The 24917-nt window shown below is 35.7% G+C and overlaps 1 protein-coding gene across 7 annotated transcripts in view, besides 2 other annotated features; it reads right to left on the minus strand.

Annotated features, from left to right (window-relative positions):
- The window catches only part of AGMO (alkylglycerol monooxygenase), a 444793-nt gene that overhangs the window by 414386 nt on the left and 5490 nt on the right, over positions 1–24917 (minus strand). For all 7 annotated transcript variants that reach the window (XR_001744759.1, XM_017012204.2, XM_011515402.4 and 4 more), the window contains exon 3: positions 13164–13315. Coding sequence is in view for 6 of the 7 variants with exons in the window: in XM_017012204.2 (XP_016867693.1) it covers positions 13164–13315 (152 nt within the window). In the remaining variant the exon portion in view is untranslated. The remainder of the gene's footprint in view (positions 1–13163; positions 13316–24917) is intronic.
- Positions 15423–15973: an enhancer, noted in NCBI's record as "OCT4-NANOG-H3K27ac hESC enhancer chr7:15586656-15587206 (GRCh37/hg19 assembly coordinates)". NCBI's record gives its function as "activates a minimal SCP1, AML or CMV promoter by ChIP-STARR-seq in primed H9 embryonic stem cells {active_cell/tissue: H9 hESC(primed)}" and the evidence as "EXISTENCE:reporter gene assay evidence [ECO:0000049][PMID:30033119]".
- Positions 15974–16522: an enhancer, noted in NCBI's record as "OCT4-NANOG-H3K27ac hESC enhancer chr7:15587207-15587755 (GRCh37/hg19 assembly coordinates)". NCBI's record gives its function as "activates a minimal SCP1, AML or CMV promoter by ChIP-STARR-seq in naive and primed H9 embryonic stem cells {active_cell/tissue: H9 hESC(naive and primed)}" and the evidence as "EXISTENCE:reporter gene assay evidence [ECO:0000049][PMID:30033119]".

Raw genomic sequence — 24917 nt, forward strand, 5'->3', positions numbered from 1 at the left:
CTATGTATATTCTATATATATATTCTATATATATAGAAAATATAAATATATATATTTTTTTAGAGGGAGTCTCACTCTATTGCCCAGGCTGGAGTGCAGTAGTACAATCTAGGCTCATCGCACCCTCTGGCTCCCCACCTTGCTGCTGTTCAAGCGATTCTCATACCTCAGCCATCCAAGTAGCTGGGATTATAGGATTACAGGTGCCCAACACCATGCCCAGCTAATTTTTGTCTTTTTAGTAGAGACAGGGTTTCTCCATATTGGCCAAGCTGGTCTCGAACTCTTGACCTCAAGTGATCTGCCTGCCTTGGCCTCCCAGAATTCTGGAATTACAAGCCTGAGCCACCACCCCTGGCCCAATAGCTTTTAAAGCTTTCAGTATGCTTCTAATGTGCAGCTACTGCACAAGTCAAACATCTAGCAAATGCTATGATAATGGATTGAGAGAACTATAATATGACTGCAATACTGTATGTTGAGTGAAGCAGAGGAAGCATCACTTCATCTATCCTAGTGTAGGTTAATGCTTCAGTAAATGTTTTGAAAACCTTAACAACCAAATCATTAAATATAATTTTTGTTTTCTACCAAAATAGTTGGTGATTTATATATGTCACCATGATCTAAAATAGATAGGATTGGTGTTGATATTAGTGTGTGTTGCATTTAATGAAAATTTTTAATTTTATTAGTAGGGTCAAGAAACGGCAAAGCCCATAGGCTCTGAGATTAACGGCCTTGGGCCAATGTATTAAGGCTCTGGTGCATTAGCTCTGAGAGTTGGGCAAGTTGCTTAAATTTGCTTTGTTTTGGTTTCCTCTTTTGTCAAAGATAGACATCATCAAGTTAGTTATTGTTTTAATTAAAGATGAAACATATATGAGAATCCCTTAGGAATACCTAGTAAGAACCTAGTAAATACTAATTAATTGTTAATATTATTTAATAAAATGACAGGTTTTCAATGACTAGTAGGACTGACACACATATTTTGTTTTGCTGTGGCTGATTCCAGTGAAGAAGATTCAAAATCTTGAGTTCTTTAGGATTTGAAAAATAGCAAGAGAGCATCTTGTCAACTATAAAACATCTTCCTAGGCTGGGTGCGGTGGTTCATGCCTATAATCTCAGCACTTTGGGAGGCCGAGGTGAGAGGATGTCTTAAGCCCAGAAGTTCAAGAACAGCCTGGACAATGAAGTGAGACCCCATCTCTACAAAAAATTTAAAAATTAGCCGAGAATGGTGGCATGTGCCTACAGACACAGCTACTCAGGAGGCTGAGGTGGTAGGATGGCTTGAGCCCAAGAAGTGGAGGTTGCAATGAGCCGAGATCATGCCACTGCACTCCAGCCTGGGTGACAGAGCAAAACCCTGTCTCAAAAGACAAAACAAAACAAACAAAAAATCTTCCTTACAACTTTAGTGAAATTCAGTGCTCATCTTTCACCCACAAGATTTTGGCAATACCTCTCAGAGTAGTATCCTTAAGTACTTTCTGTTTCAGTTTTTGGTTTTTATACACATGGAGATATGTCTTTAGAGTCACTAAAAAGATACTTGGTACTTAAGATCTAAGTAATATATATTGCCATTCCAAAGAGTTCCTGTTATGCTGTGGTTATGTATTTATTCTTATTTATCTCCATTCTCTTATTCATCAATCTATTTTCTTGGGATTAATAATGGTGTTTGTTGCATTTTCATTTGCCATTTTTCTTATGATATTTATTTAGTCAAAATATTAATCTATGACAATAACAATGTACCTATATAGTTATCTGGTTTTATTAAATTATGATTGCCTGTACTATTCATTTTTAGTAAAATTTTTAAATTTGTTTTACAGATCTTTGCTATAAATATGATTTATATATCACTGCCTCCACTCAAATATCCTCTACTCAACCTCATTTACATTCTTTGTTTTCTCTTCCTACTCATTTGGTTTTATGCTTTACGTGCAGTTCACTTTGTCCTTTTACTTAGAGTCAGATTTTTTCCTGAGCAGTATTTTCACCATGGTGGGAGCCATCAGATTCTGCATAATGACTTATTTTTCCACTATATTCCTATATTTCTAAAGAAGAAAAGATCACTGCTAATGAAATCTAATACTGATGAAATCAGATTTCTTGTTGATTTAACTACCACCTGCACATCTGGTGTATTTTTCCGGGGCTCTTCTGTTCTGTTTGTTTAACTCACAGTATAAGCACTTCACATAGAAAACGTGTCTTCTTCATTCTTCAAACAGTTCCAAAACACAGAGCTGGCATTAAAAATTTGTTTTAAAAGATGATGTAGCACAAGCTATATATTGTGATAATATACAATGGTGGGGGTATTTTATTACCAAGATTTGCAGATTTCGAGAGAATAAAACTATATACTATACATACTTTAGGACACATACTTATGGCACAAAGTTACATTTTAGAAGCTATTTTAAGAAGTATGAGGCCTCGATTGTAAAAAAAAGAACAAAATCAAATTACCCATTAGCGTAAGAGAAGAAAGAACAAATCTGTTTTAGCAATTTTTTTCAAGTCATTTCCTAGGTTCTCGAAAAGACATTTCAATCTCTTAGCTGGAAAAGCATATTTTAACAAATTAATATTTAATTAAGATGAAAGGACAACAAAAGACATTTTAAAATATAGGCAAAATGTACACATTCTAATGGATTTTATTTCTTTTAAAACCTTTCATGTAAATCTTTAAAATAGCAAATTAAAAACTTCAAGTGTTGAAAGAAAAAGGGAATACGGATAAGTTTGATTTACTAGAAAGAAATCAAATTCCATGATATTCACTTGGGGAAAAGAGACTTTCTTTATAAAAGCAAAATATAATTTTGTTTATTACAGTTGACAACTATTCATCTAGGAAGAGATCATTAGTATCATGTCTAACTTCAGTATAAATCTAAAACACAGACTGTCAATGGTCTCTGTGACAACTAAAACGTTCATTTTCCTGTAGAGGCATCTTATTAAAGACAAAGATAATTCCATTACAATTTGATAAATAGAAATCAATATGACATTCTTTATACAACCAAGTTTCCCTAGCTTTGGATTATGTTATATGATACATTTGTACATATACACAAATATATTATATCTTTATAAGGTCCTTTATGAAGTATTATTATCCCCAGCTAACAGTGAGAAAAAAATTAAGTTTGTATGAGGATAAGTAAATTTAACCCTGAATTTTGGTAAGGCAATTCTTATAACTACCAATGTATTTTAATATTATTTAGAGAAAACATAGTAATATTTATATTATTGCATTATATATAATACATTACATAAACAGGTCAGACAACATATGAATTCATAACTTTTTTACTTATGTATCAGACTGCACCTTAAGTGTTTTGTCCATTTTTACTCATTTAAACTTCTCAAGTAGTCTGTGAAAATTATACTTTTGTTATTTGCATCTACAGATAAGGAAACACAAAGAAGTGGCATAACTTGCTTAATATTACACAGTTAAAAAGTGGTAGCAATAGAATTTGAATCCAGGCAGTTTGGTTCCAGAGTCTATTATCTTACTCTCTATTTACAGAGCCTGTCTCTCGGGGATGGATTTAGATGAACATTTCATTTTCTATCTTTTGCTCACCTGTGCTTTTTTCTGCAATTTATTTCTTAGACATAAGCTTTGGAATAAGAAAAATAAGTTATTCCTATTTTTCTAGGAATGGGGGGGCATACTCTTTCTTTTTACCTTTGGAATAAAAGAATCGGAATTCAAGAAGTACATTACAAAATGAAGTTAAAATAAGAAAATTGTTTGGTTTTGAACAAATATAATAATAGTTTAGGAAATTAGTCAAACTCAACAAAAATTATGCATCTCAAACTAATTACTTTGGCATTTGAACTTACCTGACTGTTGGGTCCATCACTCTGTATTCCACAGCATGCCTCACTACCTGGCATATTACATAGGATACATTTTATATCTGGACTTTCTTCCCTCGTTAGGATGTAAGCACCCAAAGGGTAACAACTTTAAAAAAATATCTTAATTTTTGTGGGTACATACTAGGTGTATATATTTATGGGGTACATGAGATATTTTGGTGCAGGCATGCAATGTGTAACAGTCACATCATAAAAAATTGGATATCCATCACTACACATATTTATCCTTTAGGCTACAAACAATTCAGTTATACTCTTTTAGTTATTTTCAAGTGAATAATTAAATTATTATTAACTATAAGCTCCCAGGTGTGCTATCAAATACAAGGTAGGGCAGCAACTTTTATTTGTTCACTGTTATAATCCTAGCAATTAGGAGGCTTTATAATATACGTGGGTACTCAGTTAATGTCTCATGAACGACTGAGTGCCTACTTTATAGAGTTATTCTGGGAATTAAATAATATAATATGCTGTGTTATTAACACAAAACACTTAGTCTAGTACCTAACAATATAAAAAACATGTATTCAATAACAGTGGTAATATTTAAATAGTATTAACTATCTGACAGTCACTCCCCTAAGTTTTACTCATTTAAGCTTTATGAAAATCTTATGAGATGTATACTATTACCATTATTATTCCCATTTTATAGATGAAGAAACTAAGACATAGATTAAACGGCTCAAATCTCAGTTAATAAGTGTCAGTACAAAGAGTTGAACTCAGGGAACTTGGCTCCAGAATCTACTTTTTTTTACCACTATACTTGTCGCTTCTCCAAAGCCCTTCAATGATACTTGAAATTTAATTTTCTATATTACTATTAGTACTTTTACCAGCATCATCATTTCAGAAATAAGAATTTTAACAGAATCCCATTTGATGTTTATGCATACAACTATAGACTTTTCAGAAATTTGTAAATTTCAGAATTAATGGCAATGAGAGGACAGTTTATTTATCAATTTTAGAACCTGCCCCTATTATTATTGTAATTAGTTGTTGATGTCTCTGATTCACAATAGAATAAACAATCAGTGACCATACCTGTTATTAAGCAAGTATCTCAGGTACTTAGTATAGGGTTGGTACAAGATAAGTGGTCTCAAATATTTTTTGAAAAAATTAATACATAAGTAAATGTATTAATTCATTTACTCACAAATAAATGCATAAGTGAAGTCAATAGCTATAGAAATAAATATCTAAGCTGATGATTACCGCAAAAATCTTAATGTACCCTTTTAGTAATTCACACAGCCGTCTTTCATTATGCTATTTTATATGGTAACGCTAAATTTAGTCATAATTATACTTGTTCAATAAATGAAAGTGGATAGAATTCCACTTGATTTGACTTTTTTTTTGGTCTAAAATGGCTGTATTCAAATATTTTGTGTGCTAATGCATCATGCATATTTAGCGAAAGAGACTTCCAAATTCTTTTTCTGAATAAAATTACTTGGGACAAAATCTGTTTTTTCCAGATCATATTTAACTGCATATTGTTCCAAAACAATCCTAAAGTCTACTTCAAACTTAAGTGTTTTCCCTCCTGTTCCCATTTGAAACATCCCTAAACCTTCACATAACCTTCCATCTTACTTTATTTGAATTGGCTTATTTATTCATTCACTCATCTATACTTGGTTCCTGGACTTTCAAAGCATTTTCATTAGAATTGTTTCACAAAGCTAGAAGATGAGTAAAATACGTAAAATCTATCTCAGAGTGGTTAATCCCAAGGTTATGTGTGTGGTAAGCAGTTGCACGGTGGTGCACACCTAGATCTTTTGATTCAAATTTTAATGCTTTTTCTGCAATGTAAGAGTTAAATACATTACGTTCTAAGACTAAAAGAAAAACACGGCATATTTTGTGTCCCTAAAAAAATCATAAGTAAGTTAAAGTTTATAATCTTTACTCCATTTATGCCTTCTGATTTAATTTTGATTACTCATTTCACAGCTTTTAATTAAATTTCTCGAAAATATTGCACAGCCGCCCTCGGTTCTCCTAATTATTCCTGGAAATATTTCTATACTTTACAATCAATGTTCAAAAATAGACTGATGGAGATTCCTGGCATCCCTATATTTTATTTTTGTTTATGACTTCCCTGTTTAATAATTCAATGAATTTATGCTTACAAACCCTTGATAATAGCCATAATCTTTTTTTCAAATGTACTTTCTATACATTATCTACATATGGAATCTCAGAACACCAAAGCAAAGTTAGTCTGTATCTTTCAAAATGACTACAGTTGCTATTGATAAGAATATGCTATTTCTCCGAGAAAGGCCCCTCAAATCAGGCATTTTGAGGGGAAATAATGGTGACCTTTCCAGTTCATACATATTTTAAGTGCTTCAACGGACAAATGTTTAACATTTGACGTGGGATGGCGCCTGTCACTGAAATAAACTCAGAGGAAAATGGTTAACATAGGTGCCATATTTTTTGGTTGAAAGTAATGATAAGAAACTAAAAGGCATAGGCAAGTTGTTGATGGGAATTCCAAGGCTTCTCTCGTAGAGGTGCTAAATAATCCCACTTCAAGGACTGAGGAAAAGTAAGGGATCATGAGAGAAGACAAGAAAAATGGTAGTAACTCAGGCAAATACAAGGTGGAGTTTACCCTAAGTGATCCACTAAGAATACAATCACAATGTATTATTATTATTATTATTACAGACAAGGTCTCACTCTGACACTCATGCTGGAGTACAGTGGCACACTCATAGCTCACTGGAGCCTAAAATTCCTGGGCTCAGGTGATCTTACTGCCTCAGCCTTCTGAGCAGCTAGAATTGTAGGCACGTGCCACCACACCCAGCTAATTTTTTAATGTTTTGTAAAGACGAAGTCTCTCCATGTTGTCCAGGTTGGTCTTGAAACTCCTAGCCTCAAACTATCCTCCTGCCTTGGTCTCCCTAGGCGCTGAGAGTGCTGAGATTACAGGTATGAGCCAGCATACCTTCCATAGTGTATTTTTAAAATAAAGAATGTCATAATGTATAGCAAAGAGTTACAAAAATCTTAGGTATATTCTGGTATCAAAAAAGAAACACAAGTACAGAAGAATGTAAGTAATCTATTCATCAGTGCAGACCACAATCCTGGCACCTTCACAAATTAAAATAATTTCTCAGCAATACGTCTGTTTATTTTCTTTTTTAAACTGTGATTGAAATTAGGATAATCTAACTTCAACTTCTAAAGTCAGAAAGCAATGAATAACTTTAAATTTAAGAGTCATATACAGGGGTTCACTTAATCAAAATGAAGTTGTGGGAATAAATATTTGTAACTACACAAAAATTGTGATCACTACCTTGTTTACATACAGAATGAGAGGAATTTTAAAATGAATTAAGCAATGTGTTGAGGAAAAAAAGTTACAGTTTGAGGGGATATTATGGATTGCTTATTACAACAGTTTTGGATGATGATCCTGCTTTCAGGACTAAACAAAATTTTGTAGCCTCAGTATATAATCAATGCCTCAGAATGAAATATAATAGTAAAAGGTGCAACTGGGTAAATTCTTTATTTTAATTTTTATGATTATTATTATTAATTTTATTATTTTTTTAACTTTTAGGTTCAGGGGCACATGTGCAGATTTGTTCTATGTAAACAGTGTGTCATGAGATTTGGTGTACAGATAATTTCATCACCTGGGTAATAAGCATAGCACCTGATAGGTATTTTTTTGTGATTTTCTCCTTTCTCCCACCCGCCACCCTCGAGTTGGCTGCAGTGTCTGTGCTCCTCTCCTAGCATCCATGTGTTCTCGTTGTATAGCTCCCACTTAAAAGTGAGAACATGTGGTATGTGGTTTTCTCTTCCTTAGTTTGTTTAGGATAATGTCCTCCAACTCTATCCATGTTGCTGCAAAGGACATGATCTCTTTCTTTTTTATGACTGCATAGTATTCCATAGTGTATATATACCACATTTTCTTTATCCAGTCTACCATTGGTGGGCATTTATATTTATTCCATGTCTTTGCTATTGTGAATAGTGCTGCATTGAACATACACATGCATGTGTCTTTATAATGGAACAATTTATATTCCTTTGGGCATATACTCAATAACTGGATTGCTGTGTTAAATGGTAATTCTAAGTTATTTGAGGAATTGCCAAATTGCTTTACACAATGGCTGAACTAACTTGCACTCCCACCAACAGTGTATAAGCATTCCTTTTTTTTCTGCAACCTCACCAGCATCTGCTATTTTTTGACTTTTTAATAATAGTCATTCTGACTAGTGTAAGAAGGTATCTTACTGTGGTTTTGATTTTCATTTCTGTAATGATTAGTGATGTTGAGCTTTTTTCATATGAAAACCCTAATTTGTTATTCTATGTAATATATGAGGAGGCTGCCTGTATCAGTCAGGGTCCAATCAAGAGACAGAAACCACATTAGTAACTTGAATAAGGAAAAGTTAATATAAGGAATTATTAACAGGTAAAGAGGAAGTGAACTACTAAAGAGGTAAGGAGGGAGGAATTCAATGTTACAGAAGTAGCAACCAAAGAATGCAGCTACTGCCTATAGAACTGAGGGAGAGAGAACCAAGCAGGTACTTATACCTTTAGAAGAGTCCCACACATGTACTCATACACTCACACCACCCCCAGGTCTAAGACTCAGACATCTCTGGAGAGGTTGTGGCTACCACTGGAACTCTGTTGGTGACAGAGAAACTTACTAAATAGAGTATATAGATCCCAGAGTGTATGAGCTACAGCTAGTTTTTTGGTGTGGCCCCCTGAATGGCAGAGAATCTTGCCAGAGGGTGTAGGCTACAGCTGAGCAAGAGGTGAAGAGTACCACATCCCTCACATACCAAACCTCCAAGTGCCAGACAGAAAAGAGCACGCTGGAAAATGGAGGCAAGGTCTCTTTCTCATGTTCTGGCTTTGCAGTGTCCCTCCAGCCCCTTAAATTGGCAAAGTCTAGCATCAAGTGAGCTGGCAAAAGAGAAATGTCTACAGCATGCAGCTCTGACAATAGAAGGAAGGGCAAAGAAGAATAGATTTGGATAAGAGAGGCAATAAATTAATAACTGGCATGCTGGCCCTTCCCCATACTTGGTTGACACTGATACAGTTAAAAACTGTATAAGGTCACATATTTATACATAGAGTCACAAATCATAACCTCTTGTATTGTTTTTCTAAATTTGTTTATATACTATAGCATTCTGCCTTAGAACTATAAACCAAGAAATTGCATTGGTGACATTATTTATGAATTTAACTTTCTATAAAAGTATATATATAGAAAATGTATAAATTTTAAGTGTACAACCAACTCAATGAATTTTTACAAATATACGCACTCATGTAAATAGCACCCAAGGCAAGATAGAGCTTATTATCAGGACCCTGAAGGTCTCATTCTTGTTCCTCCCAAGCAGTAATTATCAGCTTTTAAAAATGTTTCCTTGAAAATCTTTACCTGTTTTCTTACATGTTTAGTGTAACTAATAAAATGTACAAAGAAAAATAATATGCCAGTTGTTTTTTTGTTTGTTTGTTTTTTTGTTTTTGTGGGTTTTTTTTGAGACGGGGTCTCGCTCTGTCACCCCAGGCTGGAGTGCAGTGGAACGGTCTTGGCTCACTGCAACCTCCGGCTCCCGGGTTCAAGCAATTCTCCTGCCTCAGCCTCCTGAGTAGCTGGGATTACAGGCGTGGGCCACCACACCTGCTAATTTTTGTATTTTTAGTAGAGACAAGGTTTCACCATGTTGGTCAGGCTGGTCTCGAACTCCTGACCTCATGATCCGCCAGCCTCAGCCTCCCAAAGTGCTGGGATTACAGGCATGAGCCACTGTGTCCAGCCTAATGCATTATTTTTATGTGGAGGAAAAGAGTGCACAAAGCTACTTTTTAAATTTAAGAACTATTTATCCTTCTATATATTTTTCTAAAATCATCAAAGCTGTCTATAATAGAACTATTGTATTGCCTTTGCTTGGTGTAATTTGACCATAATTAGCAATTTCTTTTTCATTCCAGAGGAAGAAAAAAGTATATAAAGAGCATACAGAACTTCAATATCTTGGCATAGTGATAGAGATGGAATTCAAATGTTGAGAATAAACTGTTTTCTGCTAACTGTCCCATAACTGTGAGAAAATGCGACATATATGCAACACAAACAAATGACAACAACAACAAATCTAGCAATGATTTGGAATCCTAAGGAAGCAATTTAAATACATGTAAAGACAAAATTTTAAATACATAATATATTGTTTCTTCAAAACTCACAGCATTTAACATACTAACAAATGTGAAATATGTTTTTGCTATATCATTTTGAAGTAGTGAAAGGAAAGTAATACATTGAATAGAAAAAGTAGGATTTGATTTTTTTCTTACTATATTTTAAGATGACATACGTATTTTGGAATTATTGAAATTTTTCAGTTAAATAAATCTGACCAGTTATTCAATTTTGACAGTAATCCAAGAGGCTCAAGAAATTTGATATTATATGGGGTTTTTTTTAGCCCTGTGTGTGTCTTGATTTCTAAAAACCCATTTTAATATTTTACAGTATTATTTACAAATAAAATTTAAAAATTAAGCATTATGTTGAAGGTTGATACATTTAAATAAGTTACTTTTTTCCTACTAGCTTTCCATTACAAGTCAAAAGTCTTTGAACTTACGGTTTGGCTCCATAGCCTGAAGGTTGTGAATGTTTTTCCAGAAGGTTTTCAAAATTTTTTTAATGCCTGCCTTTTTTACTGGATTCAGTTCAAAATTTCTAATGAGAAGCATACTTTAAATAGCCTTGATGCCACATTTTTAATATGTTATTTTACTTTATTGCTCTTCCCAACTGAGAACACTTATAATCAACATATTTTTAATAGTTTTATATTGGTAATATCTTGTTGATTCTTTGTTTCCTGTTATAATGGGCTTTCCAGGAGTAAACAAATTTGCAGATTTCCCAAATAAACACATCCGTGTTGGGTAGTGCGGCATGAGGAAGGTTCTTGAAAGTATGTAATATAGTACAATATAAATGCCTTCTGCAACACCCCTTTGTTGCATAGAAAATGAGGAAGATTGCCGATGAGTTTATTTTAGGGAGAAAACTACCAGTTTGAAATAAAACACAAATATGTTATTATGTAAACCATATTTATTCTTAATCATGTTTGATTTTGGAGTAGCCTTTGCATTTATATATGAGGAAATAGTGTCAGGAACTGACCTATTATGTGTCAAAGACAAAGGTTATCACGCACAAACTTAATAACTTTTTCTAACTCATATATTCACTTCAAATTGTTCTAATAAATTAAGCCTTCATAGAGTTTCATTAAGTGCACATGTTTAAGGTGGTTAACATAAACGATGCTATATTTAAATTTTAACAGCCTTGAGCATAACACAAATCCATGCTACTCCTATTTCCTTCATCCTTGCTTGGGAAGGATATTTGGTCACACTCACTCCTACACAGAGAGCTCAGTTATTCACCCTGATCTCTGGTCTCTTCTGTCCATCTGCCATCTATTTATTAGTATTATTCCAGGTTCCTTCCTCTTCCTTCCTTCCTCCACACCCACTCAACCAACCACCCACTGAAATCCTGAGTTGTGCTCTTCAGTAGTTTTTCAAGATTAGAACTTCAGAAATACTTTGGCATGCTTTTTTCTCCTCAGAGACCACTTGCTCACCTTAGCTCTACAATCATTCCTCAGCCCCTACTTATCCCTGCAGAGGTTCAGACCTAGATTTGTTCCTCATTCTTCCATTTCCCTTTCTATAACAAAACATTTCTTGGGAAGTGCAGCCAAGAATCCCAAAAAGCAAATTCAGTGAACCAGTGCAGTAAGAGGGCTTTTGCAGATGAGACATTTTGTGAAACTATGGTAACAGAAAAGTGCATATGGTCAGCGCCTAGCTGATTGCATTTTCATTTGTAATGTGGAAGTACTGCCAACAAATTGAATTGAACTTACTATAATAGAACACATTACTTAGAATTCCACACTGTTGCAGGGTCCTTCTGAATGACCCTCAATAATTGTGCTGTGAAGTTTGATATTGTGTACGTTTTTAGACTCTATCAAGCATATCATAATAACAATAATGGAAGGCAGTATATTAAAATGCAATACTGCTATAAACATGCATGTGCAAGTATCTTTTTCATATAATGATTTCTTTTCCTCTGCGTAAAGAAGGAAAAGTAGATCCACTACTGTTTGATCTGGCAATTCCAGTGGGATTGCCGGATCAAATGGTGGATCTACTTTTCCTTCTTTAAGGAATCTCCACACTGTTTTCCATAGTCATTGTACTAGTTTACCTTCCTACCAACGGTATAAAACTGTTCCCTTTTCACCGCAAAAATATGGAACCAGCCCAAATGCCCATCAAGAAATGAGCAGATAAAGAAAATGTGGTATATATTTAGCATGGAATACTACTCAGCCATAAAAAGGAATGAAATAATGGCATTTGCAGCAACCCAGATGGAATTGGAAACTATTATTCTAAGTGAATTAACTCAGGAATGGAAAACCAAACATCATATGTTCTCACTCATATGTGGGAGCTAAGCTAAGAGGACACAAAGGCATAAGAATGATACATTGGACTTTAGAGACTAGGGGGAGAGGGTGGGGGTGGCAAAGGATAAAAGATTACACAATGGGTACAGGGTACAATGCTCGGGTGATAGGTGCACCACAGTCTCGGAAATCAAAACTGAAGAACTTATTCATGTAACCAAACACCACTTGTTGCCCAAAAACCTATTGCAATAAAAAATTAAACACAAACAAAAAAACCTTTTATCCCAACAGCCAAATGTTAGGACCTTGTTTGGGTTCTGACTAATAAATATCCCCATAAAAATTAAAATTTTCATTAAAAACCAAATGGTAAATAATAAAAATACAATGCTATAGCCACCACTTTCTAATCTTTTTTAAAATTAGAAGCGAAAAAAATGTACTTCCAATAATTTCATATCATTTTTAAAATATGGCTTCAGATTTTCTCCACTTAAATTGCAAAGTAAACCTTCATTATTAATTTTTATATCCGTAAAATATACTATTTTATTCCTGTATTTATCCATTCAATAAATGTTTACTGAATATGTACTATGTACCAAACACAGTTCAACATAAGTTAACAAAAAGTCCTCATTTGCAGCTTACCATGAGCCATACGATGGAACCAGTAGTAGCCAAAGTCAACTCCTAAGAAGGCTGAATACCAAGTCCATGGAGAATCCCAAGGCAAATTGAACAGCCTGTAGTTCTCCCAGATATAAATATAACTGGTCAGTTCAATGCTCCTGAAAAATAGACTGGAAGATAAAATTCACAATCAGTGATTATATAACATTTTAGAAAAAAAATTACGCTAAAATGTTTTAGATAACATTTAAAATTAATATCTTCATATAAAAAAATGAAACTCTTTCTTCTACTTTGTGTCTTCTATGTCATTCCTTTTAAAGGCTCAAATTCCTTGGTATCAAAATCATTCACAGGAAGCTTTATTTTATTTCATAGGCATCATGGATGCCAGCTGTTTGTGCTCTCAATTTCATGAAATTTAAAAGGCCATTTTTTATGTCTCTTAAAATATTTTTCATGGAACCCATACAACATAAATAGGACAAGACTAAAACTTAATTTCTGTGATTGTCATTTCTAAATCTTATTGAAGTACATATTAAGAATTCTTTATAAAGGGAATTTAAAAGGCAGAAAATTATACATGCCCATATTTTAAAGGGTGCTGCAAATTGCCTACTGCATTCAAATATTTTGATCCCATAAAATTTGCCTTTAGGTTAAAGTTGCTTCTGTCTAAATCTATTCTCTCTTCTCTTCTTCCTCCTTCCTTTTTATTTTCTCTTTCACACACACACATACACACACATATATATTATACTTATCATCAGGTATTAGATACTCAGAGCATTTCAACATTTCTTATAAGTAATATAAACTAGGGTTTTCATAATATTAGGAAAAATATTTCCTTCGAAGTAAGGTATACAAACCTAATTAAAATAAACAATTGTTTCTAAAACTCAGACACTAGAATATATCTTGCCATCTATTTATCAAGCTTCCACAAATTTTCAGTAACTTTTAAAAACCTATAAAATGTACTTCAATTTTAGAAAGTATATTATTCTTTCTTTCAAGTTTTATATGATCAAATTTAAGATTAGCTTCTAGATGTTTTGTTTTGTCACTTTTATCAATTTGATTGAGTTGACTTTTCCTTCTATATTTATTATTAAATATAAAATGAATTAATCATTCTAGTTAATAAAGATATATTTATAAGTCATCAACAAGTTTGGTGCTGAAAATTCTGAGAAACTTCTTAAATATTCTAATTTTAGATAAAAGTGGAAGAAGTGGTGCAGATTATTATACTACCAAAATTTTTTATTTTTACAGTATTTCCCTTCACAGAGTCAGTTTCTGTGAATTAGCATTTTACTGGGTCTTTTAAAGATCCAGCCCTTTAATTTTATTCTTGAATTTAATTATTGTATGACTTTAACTGTGATTTAATATCTTTAAAATAACCTCTCATACTTTAATATTTCAAAGTATTATTATTTAATCTGTAAAATAAAACACTAGACTGTCTTATAACAGCATTAATATATGCAACTCAGAGAAATGCCAAATGCTCACAATTTTGAACAGGAGTACACATCACCACACATTAAAAAACTCAATCTCCAATTTGAGATTACATGGTTGGAAGAAGCAGTTTTGTCCGTGAGTTCAAGTCCTTGACCCAAAGGACTCATCCTGTACCCATACCACATTGCCAATCTGAGCAATACTCTGAATACTCTAGAATACATTGCTGCAGTGGCCCTGAGCCTGCTTGTGTGCCTTGCATGGGCCTGTTTGCTGAGCCATTCTTCCTGAGGGCAGACCTCTGCAGGTGTCCAAACCCCTCAACCTGACAGAGTGGCCAAGGGTGGCTATTTTGGGGCATGTAGACAGAGCTGGGGCTAGAGGTCTGGGATGTCCACACACAGGTGTGTGAGGTCCCTCCTGGGGCAGGACAAGCCATGAGGCCAAGGGTTCCCAAAGTGTTGTGGAAACTCCAAGGAATCTATGAAATGAACACTTAAAACCTGCCTTCCAAATTTTTATGAAGGTATGCTAGTCAAAGTAGGCGGTGAGAACAAATTCTACTGTAAATCTTGTTAGCTTTGTTGGTTACTTTTGCATGTTCAGATGAGGGCTTCACAACAGTGCCACTGCTGACATTTGGACAGGATAATTCTTTGTTGGAAGAGGCTGTTTGGTGCAAACGTTTACTGAAACTATGAAATCTTAAAATTGCTCACTATTGTTCATTAGTAAGGGTTACCCATATAAAATTCAAGTTTTAGGTTAAAAATGGCAAATAACATTAATTTCATATACTTCAATATAACAATTTCTCTAAAATAGGAATTCTTAACCTTAACACTATTACAATTTGGGCCAAGTAATTTTTTGTTTCAAGAGCCTTTCCTGTGCATCATAGAATGTATTCCAGCATTGCTGTTCTTTAGCACCTAGATTTAGGACCCTTCCTTCTCACCTCAGCTATGACTACAAAAATGTCTCCAGATACTTCCAAGTGTTTCCTGGGGAGCAAAATTTTCCCCAGTTGATAACCTCTGCCTTGAAACAACTGATCTGGAAGAAAGATTAAAACAGGGAGCCAAGATGGCCAAATAGGAACAGCTCCGGTCTACAGCTCCCAGCATGAGCGACGCAGAAGACGGGTGATTTCTGCATTTCCATCTGAGGTACCGGGTTCATCTCACTAGGGAGTGCCAGACAGTGGGCGCAGGTCAGTGGGTGCGCGCACCGTGCGCGAGCCGAAGCAGGGCAAGGCATTGCCTCACTCGGGAAGCGCAAGGGGTCAGGGAGTTCCCTTTCCGAGTCAAAGAAAGGGGTGACAGACGCACCTGGAAAATCGGGTCACTCCCACACGAATATTGCGCTTTTCGGACCGGCTTAAAAAACGGCGCACCACGAGATTATATCCGCACCTGGCTCGGAGGGTCCTACGCCCACGGAGTCTCGCTGATTGCTAGCACAGCAGTCTGAGATCAAACTGCAAGGCGGCAGCGAGGCTGGGGGAGGGGCGCCCGCCATTGCCCGGGCTTGATTAGGTAAACAAAGCAGCCGGGAAGCTCCAACTGGGTGGAACCCACCACAGCTCAAGGAGGCCTGCCTGCCTCTGTAGGCTCCACCTCTGGGGGCAGGGCACAGACAAACAAAAAGACAGCAGTAACCTCTGCAGACTTAAATGTCCCTGTCTGATAGCTTTGAAGAGAGCAGTGGTTCTCCCAGCACGCAGCTGGAGATCTGAGAACAGGCAGACTGCCTCCTCAAGTGGGTCCCTGACCCCTGACACCGGAGCAGCCTAACTAGGAGGCACCCCCCAGCAGGGGCACACTGACACCTCACACGGCAGGGTATTCCAACAGACCTGCAGCTGACGGTCATGTCTGTTAGAAGGAAAACTAACAAACAGAAAGGACATCCACATCAAAAACCCATCTGTACATCACCGTCATCAAAGACCAAAAGTAGATAAAACTACAAAGATGGGGAAAAAACAGAACAGAAAAACTGGAAACTCTAAAACGCAGAGCACCTCTCCTCCTCCAAAGGAACGCAGTTCCTCACCAGCAACGGAACAAAGCTGGATGGAGAATGACTTTGACGAGCTGAGAGAAGAAGGCTTCAGACGATCAAATTACTCTGAGCTATGGGAGGACATTCAAACCAAAGGCAAAGAAGTTGAAAACTTTGAAAAAAATTTAGAAGAATGTATAACTAGAATAACCAATACAGAGAAGTGCTTAAAGGAGCTGATGGAGCTGAAAACCAAGGCTCGAGAACTACGTGAAGAATGCAGAAGGCTCAGGAGCCGATGTGATCAACTGGAAGAAAGGGTATCAGCGATGGAAGATGAAATGAATGAAATGAAGCGAGAAGGGAAGTTTAGAGAAAAAATAATAAAAAGAAATGAGCAAAGCCTCCAAGAAATATGGGACTATGTGAAAAGACCAAATCTACGTCTGATTGGTGTGCCTGAAGGTGATGGGGAGAATGGAACCAAGTTGGAAAACACTCTGCAGGATATTATCCAGGAGAACTTCCCCAATCTAGCAAGGCAGGCCAACGTTCAGTTTCAGGAAATACAGAGAACGCCACAAAGATACTCCTCGAGAAGGGCAACTCCAAGACACATAATTGTGAGATTCACCAAAGTTGAAATGAAGGAAAAAATGTTAAGGGCAGCCAGAGAGAAAGGTCGGGTTACCCTCAAAGGGAAGCCCATCAGACTAACAGCGGATCTCTCGGCAGAAACCCTACAAGCCAGAAGAGAGTGGGGGCCAATATTCAACATTGTTAAAGAAAAGAATTTTCAACCCAGAATTTCATATCCAGCCAAACTAAGCTTCATAAGCGAAGGAGAAATAAAATACTTTACAGACAAGCAAATGCTGAGAGATTTTGTCACCACCAGGCCTGCCCTAAAAGAGCTCCTGAAGGAAGCGCTAAACATGGAAAGGAACAACCGGTACCAGCCGCTGCAAAATCATGCCAAAATGTAAAGACCATCGAGACTAGGAAGAAACTGCATCAACTAACGAGCAAAATCACCAGCTAACATCATAATGACAGGATCAAATTCACACATAACAATATTAACTTTAAATGTAAATGGACTAAATGCTCCAGTTAAAAGACACAGACTGGCAAATTGGATAAAGAGTGAAGACCCATCAGTGCACTGTATTCAGGAAACCCATCTCATGTGCAGAGACACACATAGGCTCAAAATAAAAGGATGGAGGAAGACCTACCAAGCAAATGGAAAACAAAAAAAGGCAGGGGTTGCAATCCTAGTCTCTGATAGAACAGACTTTAAACCAACAAAGATCAAAAGAGACAAAGAAGGCCATTACATAATGGTAAAGGGATCAATTCAACAAGAAGAGCTAACTATCCTAAATATATATGCACCCAATACAGGAGCACCCAGATTCATAAAGCAAGTCCTGAGTGACCTACAAAGAGACTTAGACTCCCACACATTAATAATGGGAGACTTTAACACCTCACTGTCAACATTAGACAGATCAACGAGACAGAAAGTCAACAAGGATACCCAGGAATTGAACTCAGCTCTGCACCAAGCGGACCTAATAGACATCTACAGAACTCTCCACCCCAAATCAACAGAATATACATTTTTTCAGCACCACACCACACCTATTCCAAAATTGACCACATACTGGGAAGTAAAGCTCTCCTCAGCAAATGTAAAAGAACAGAAATTATAACAAACTATCTCTCAGACCACAGTGCAATCAAACTAGAACTCAGGATTAAGAATCTCACTCAAAACCGCTCAACTACATGGTAACTGAACAACCTGCTCCTGAATGACTACTGGATACATAACGAAATGAAGGCAGAAATAAAGACGTTCTTTGAAACCAACGAGAACAAAGACACAACATACCAGAATCTCTGGGATGCATTCAAAGCAGTGTGTAGAGGGAAATTTATAGCACTAAATGCCCACAAGAGAAAGCAGGAAAGATCCAAAATTGACACCCTAACATCACAATTAAAAGAACTAGAAAAGCAAGAGCAAACACATTCAAAAGCTAGCAGAAAGCAAGAAATAACTAAAATCAGAGCAGAACTGAAGGAAATAGAGACACAAAACACCCTTCAAAAAATTAATGAATCCAGGAGCTGGTTTTTTGAAAGGATCAACAAAATTGATAGACCGCTAGCAAGACTAATAAAGAAGAAAAGAGAGAAGAATCAAATAGACACTATAAAAAATGATAAAGGGGATATCACCACCCATCCCACAGAAATACAAACTACCATCAGAGAATACTACAAACACCTCTACACAAATAAACTAGAAAATCTAGAAGAAATGGATAAATTCCTTGACACATACACTCTCCCAAGACTAAACCAGGAAGAAGTTGAATCTCTGAATAGACCAATAACAGGAGCTGAAATTCTGGCAATAATCAATAGTTTACCAACCAAAAAGAGTCCAGGACCAGATGGATTCACAGCCGAATTCTACCAGAGGTACAAGGAGGAACTGGTACCATTCCTTCTGAAACTATTCCAATCAATAGAAAAAGAGGGAATCCTCCCTAACTCATTTTATGAGGCCAGCATCATTCTGATACCAAAGCCAGGCAGAGACACAACCAAAAAAGAGAATTTTAGACCAATATCCTTGATGAACATTGATGCAAAAATCCTCAATAAAATACTGGCAAACCGAATCCAGCAGCACATCAAAAAGCTTATCCACCATGATCAAGTGGGCTTCATCCCTGGGATGCAAGGCTGGTTCAATATACGCAAATCAATAAATGTAATCCAGCATATAAACAGAGCCAAAGACAAAAACCACATGATTATCTCAATAGATGCAGGAAAAGCCTTTGACAAAATTCAACAATCCTTCATGCTAAAAGCTCTCAATAAATTAGATATTGATGGGACGTATTTCAAAATAATAAGAGCTATCTATGACAAACCCACAGCCAATATCATACTGAATGGGCAAAAACTGGAAGCATTCCCTTTGAAAACTGGCATAAGATAGGGATGCCCTCTCTCACCACTCCTATTCAACATAGTGTTGGAAGTTCTGGCCAGGGCAATTAGGCAGGAGAAGGAAATAAAGGGTATTCAATTAGGAAAAGAGGAAGTCAAATTGTCCCTGTTTGCAGACGACATGATTGTATATCTAGAAAACCCCATTGTCTCAGCCCAAAATCTCCTTAAGCTGATAAGCAACTTCAGCAAAGTCTCAGGATACAAAATCAATGTGCAAAAATCACAAGCATTCTTATACACCAACAACAGACAAACAGAGAGCCAAATCATGAGTGAACTCCCATTCACAATTGCTTCAAAGAGAATAAAATACTTAGGAATCCAACTTACAAGGGATGTGAAGGACCTCTTCAAGGAGAACTACAAACCACTGCTCAAGGAAATAAAAGAGGATATAAACAAATGGAAGAACATTCCATGCTCATGGGTAGGAAGAATCAATATCGTGAAAATGGCCATACTGCCCAAGGTAATTTACAGATTCAATGCCATCCCCATAAAGCTACCAATGACTTTCCTCACAGAATTGGAAAAAAACTACTTTAAAGTTCATATGGAATCAAAAAAGAGCCCGCATCACCAAGGCAATCCTAAGCCAAAAGAACAAAGCTGGAGGCATCACACTACCTGACTTCAAACTATACTACAAGGCTACAGTAACCAAAACAGCATGGTACTGGTACCAAAACAGAGATATAGATCAATGGAACAGAACAGAGCCCTCAGAAATAATGCCACATATCTGCAACTATCTGATCTTTGACAAACCTGAGAAAAACAAGCAATGGGGAAAGGATTCCCTATTTAATAAATGGTGCTGGGAAAACTGGCTAGCCATATGTAGAAAGCTGAAACTGGATCCCTTCCTTACACCCTATACAAAAATCAATTCAAGATGGATTAAAGACTTAAACATTAGACCTAAAACCATAAAAACCCTAGAAGAAAACCTAGGCATTACCATTCGGGACATAGGCATGGGCAAGGACTTCATGTCCAAAACACCAAAAGCATTGGCAACAAAAGCCAAAATTGACAAATGGGATCTAATTAAACTAAAGAGCTTCTGCACAGCAAAAGAAACTACCATTAGAGTGAACAGGCAACCTACAAAATGGGAGAAGATTTTCGCAACCTACTCATCTGACAAAGGGCTAATATCCAGAATCTACAATGAACTCAAACAAATTTACAAGAAAAAAACAAACAACCCCATCAAAAAGTGGGTGAAGGACATGAACAGACACTTCTCAAAAGAAGACATTTATGCAGCCAAAAAACACATGAAAAAATGCTCATCATCACTGGCCATCAGAGAAATGCAAATCAAAACCACAGTGAGATACCATCTCACACCAGTTAGAATGGCAATCATTAAAAAGTCAGGAAACAACAGGTGCTGGAGAGGATGTGGAGAAATAGGAACACTTTTACACTGTTGGTGGGACTGTAAACTAGTTCAACCATTGTGGAAGTCAGTGTGGCGATTCTTCAGGGATCTAGAACTAGAAATACCATTTGACCCAGCCATCCCATTACTGGGTATATACCCAAAGGACTATAAATCATGCTGCTATAAAGACACATGCACACGTATGTTTATTGCGGCATTATTCACGATAGCAAAGACTTGGAACCAACCCAAATGTCCAACAATGATAGACTGGATTAAGAAAATGTGGCACATATACACCATGGAATACTACACAGCCATAAAAAATGATGAGTTCATGTCCTTTGTAGGGACATGGATGAAATTGGAAATCATCATTCTCAGTAAACTATCGCAAGAACAAAAAACCAAACACCGCATATTCTCACTCATAGGTGGGAATTGAACAATGAGATCACATGGACACAGGAAGGGGAATATCACACTCTGGGGACTGTTGTGGGGTGGGCGGAGGGGGGAGGGATAGCATTGGGAGATATACCTAATGCTAGATGACGAGTTAGTGGGTGCAGCGCACCAGCATGGCACATGTATACATATGTAACTAACCTGCGCAATGTGCACATGTACCCTAAAACTTAAAGTATAATAAAAAAAATAAATAAATAAATAAAATAAAATAAAATAGAAAAAAAAGAAAGATTAAAACAAAGTGTAGTAGAAAGTTGAAATCATCTCTAGCTGAATGGCTTAAGTATTAGCACATGGTATCAAAGCAGATTCAACCATGGATTCAGGCAGTCATTCAATGAATTCATATGAAGAGCCTACTAAGTGCCAGGCACAGCACAAGACACAAGAACACACTATTAAACAGGGCAAATGCCACCAGCCTTATAAATATTCCCTCAGTTTAATACCTTTTTTAAAAAAATATGCTATCTTTCTTGTCAACTCCAGTGAAAATGGAAATAGGCATTAAGATACCAAGATCTCAATAACAGACTGAAGGTCCTAGAAAAACTTCCATTTGTAAAAAAATACATAAATAAATAAATAAATAATTTCAAAAACCTGCCTGAAATTGAAATACTTTTCTATTTCCTGTACAGGTGCCAGGTCTTGAGCAGACACCCAATTTATTACTCCGTCAACTGACTTATTAGGGTTAACACAAATCGAGCTGAAATATGCCTAACATACTACAGTCAAGCCTTCCCCCCACCACATCCCACACACATTAGCATGAAGCCTAACTTCCCTCAAGACACAAAGAAAGAGGGGAGAAGCTGTGGGAGTTATATTCCCTGCTTTCTATTAGCAAAATTAATTTGATCCCCTTTTATTACATATGTGAAACAATAGCCATGGAGTGCCCACAACTAAAAGCAATTCACCTAACCAATACAGCTGGGAAATGATTATCAAGCTCTGGAAAGCCCTGGATTGCAGAAAATAGCACCTACATTTTCAAAAATGTTCTCAGAAGACCTTGAATCATAAACCAAAGTTCCTTCCTCTTTCTCTTCTCAATCCCCCTTACCCCTTCCACCCTGCAATCTCAGCACATGACTCTGCACCCTGGAATTTAAACTGTCTAAACTCCATCCTGTGGGAAGAGGCATATAAAATATGTACGTATATAGTAAGCTTACTTTATCACATGAAGATGGAATACTGGGTAGCACAGGGGCTTGGAATTCCCAAATACTAGATCCCTTTTATGCCTTAAGTTTGAATGTAAGACCAGGAAAGTGATCTAAATGTAAAGAGACATTAGAATCCTCTAATTAGCAACCTGCATATAGAGAGACTTTCCTCCTATTGTCCTATTTTCTTCATGAATTCCCCCAAACAGCAGTTTTCTCTTGGGTCTGAAGTATATGTTTCAGTAAATGAAAAGTAGCTTACTTCTCTAACTAGTGAACTGATTTTCTGTGTGTTTTACCTAATATTTTTCTCTCATCACTAGAAATTTGTCAATGTTCAGTTACTACAAAAAAAGCTGCTAAGTTACTAAATTGCTATTTAGTATTAATCCTCATTTTTTACAAAATAAAATTCAGTTTTAATGTTAAGATTGAAAAATAATCAATAAATCAGAAATAAATGTTATTTGGGGATTGAGAATTAGAAACTAATTAGTTTTCAAAGTCATCTCCATCTGAGTCTACCCATCACCAGGAATAGAAGTGTGAGAGTGGGCATGACATTCACTCTTTCAGTGTCTAAGGATAATTTAAGGTATGAGATAATTAAGCTGAATGAGCCCTAAAACGACTCTCACGTTGTTGTCATTAAGAAAGCAAGTGACATTTGGTGTAATACTGTCGTTGAAAACTCCTAAGAGAGCAAGTTTCAGAATAAGTAGACTCATGTAATACACTCATACAAATCTGCCAATTTATATTATTCCACAACTGTCATTATAGCTGAGTGTTCTGATTTGGCCAGATTATACAAAACTAAAAAAAAATTAGATATTTTTATTTCTAATAATCTTGTTTTATGAGCCAGAAAATAAATCAATATTTAAAAAAGATTATTACAAATATTCTTAAAACTCCAAGAAGTTACAAATAAATTAATGTATTGGATCATATATATATATATATATATATACACACACACACACACACACACACACACACACACACACACACACATATGTAAAGAGAGTGAGAGAGAGAAATTTTTCTGGGAAATTTTGTTATTTATTTACTTCAAAATCTCTTCAACTGAATCCAGGAGTTTGCACTGCCCGTCTGTAAAGCTACTGCCACTTTTGCTCCATCTAGTGGAATATTGATTTTTGCTTGGTAATAATAAGAAAGATAATATTACCTTTACCGTCTGCAAACAAATAAAATGCGTACTACTAGTTATTATTGTTAAATGGTATCACATTCATAAAACAATCACTTACTTTAATTTCTTCTTAACAGCAACCATAAAACCATAAACCTTTATAAACACAATGTGATAGATTTGAAAGAAATGAATTTGATACATTATTTACTTTGCAGGAAATGTATTACTCAATTGAATAAACACACAAGTCCAGACTAATAAGCAGTGAACCTTGCATTCACCAGGGAAGGTTCATCTAATAGCAGTTTCTGAAGTTACGCAATTAATAACAAAGACAAAGTCTATTTATTAGTTTTCTAATGCAAATATTAAGAACAAATGAGACATTCTCTCAAATGTAATTAACAAACCAACAAGTTTTTAAAATTTATTCCCTTACATGGGGATTTTAAATAATTATTTCTAAGTTAATACATTTAGTATTAATAATAAAGTACTATTATTAACGTTACACAGATTCATTTATTTCTTATTTTGGACAATGAATTGCTGCTTATTAAAGTCATCACCCAAAATTATATACATTCATTTGTTAGGTCTGATTTGCCAAGGCAACATTTAGCCTCTCGTGCCAAGGCCCCTAGTATAAAAACCCAGTATACAATTTTTCTTTATTCTCTGGCCCCACCCCAAAGAGTCAAAAATATTTTAAAGAAGTTTAATTTCCTCCTTTTTAGTTTTTTTTTTTTTTTTTTTTTTTGATGAATTGAAACTTTCTTGTCAGGAATGGAAAATTCCATGGCAGGCATGGCCAGTAAAAGTATGCATATATATGATTGAACATTGTGGAGCTAGCTCCATAGTAAAAATTGGCAGTGACCCATATGTATTAAAAGTGCAGTGTCCCCAACTTTATTTGAAAATTTACCTACTTAAATTATCCCTCTAACCTATTGCAATTTGATTTATAATCTGCTGTTTCAACAGAATAAATGAACCCATTAAAAACAAACATACTGTAGATATTTATATCAGGAATAAAA

The sequence above is a fragment of the Homo sapiens genome, chromosome 7, assembly GCF_000001405.40.
Source record: "Homo sapiens chromosome 7, GRCh38.p14 Primary Assembly".
Classification (NCBI taxonomy): Eukaryota; Metazoa; Chordata; class Mammalia; order Primates; family Hominidae; genus Homo; species Homo sapiens.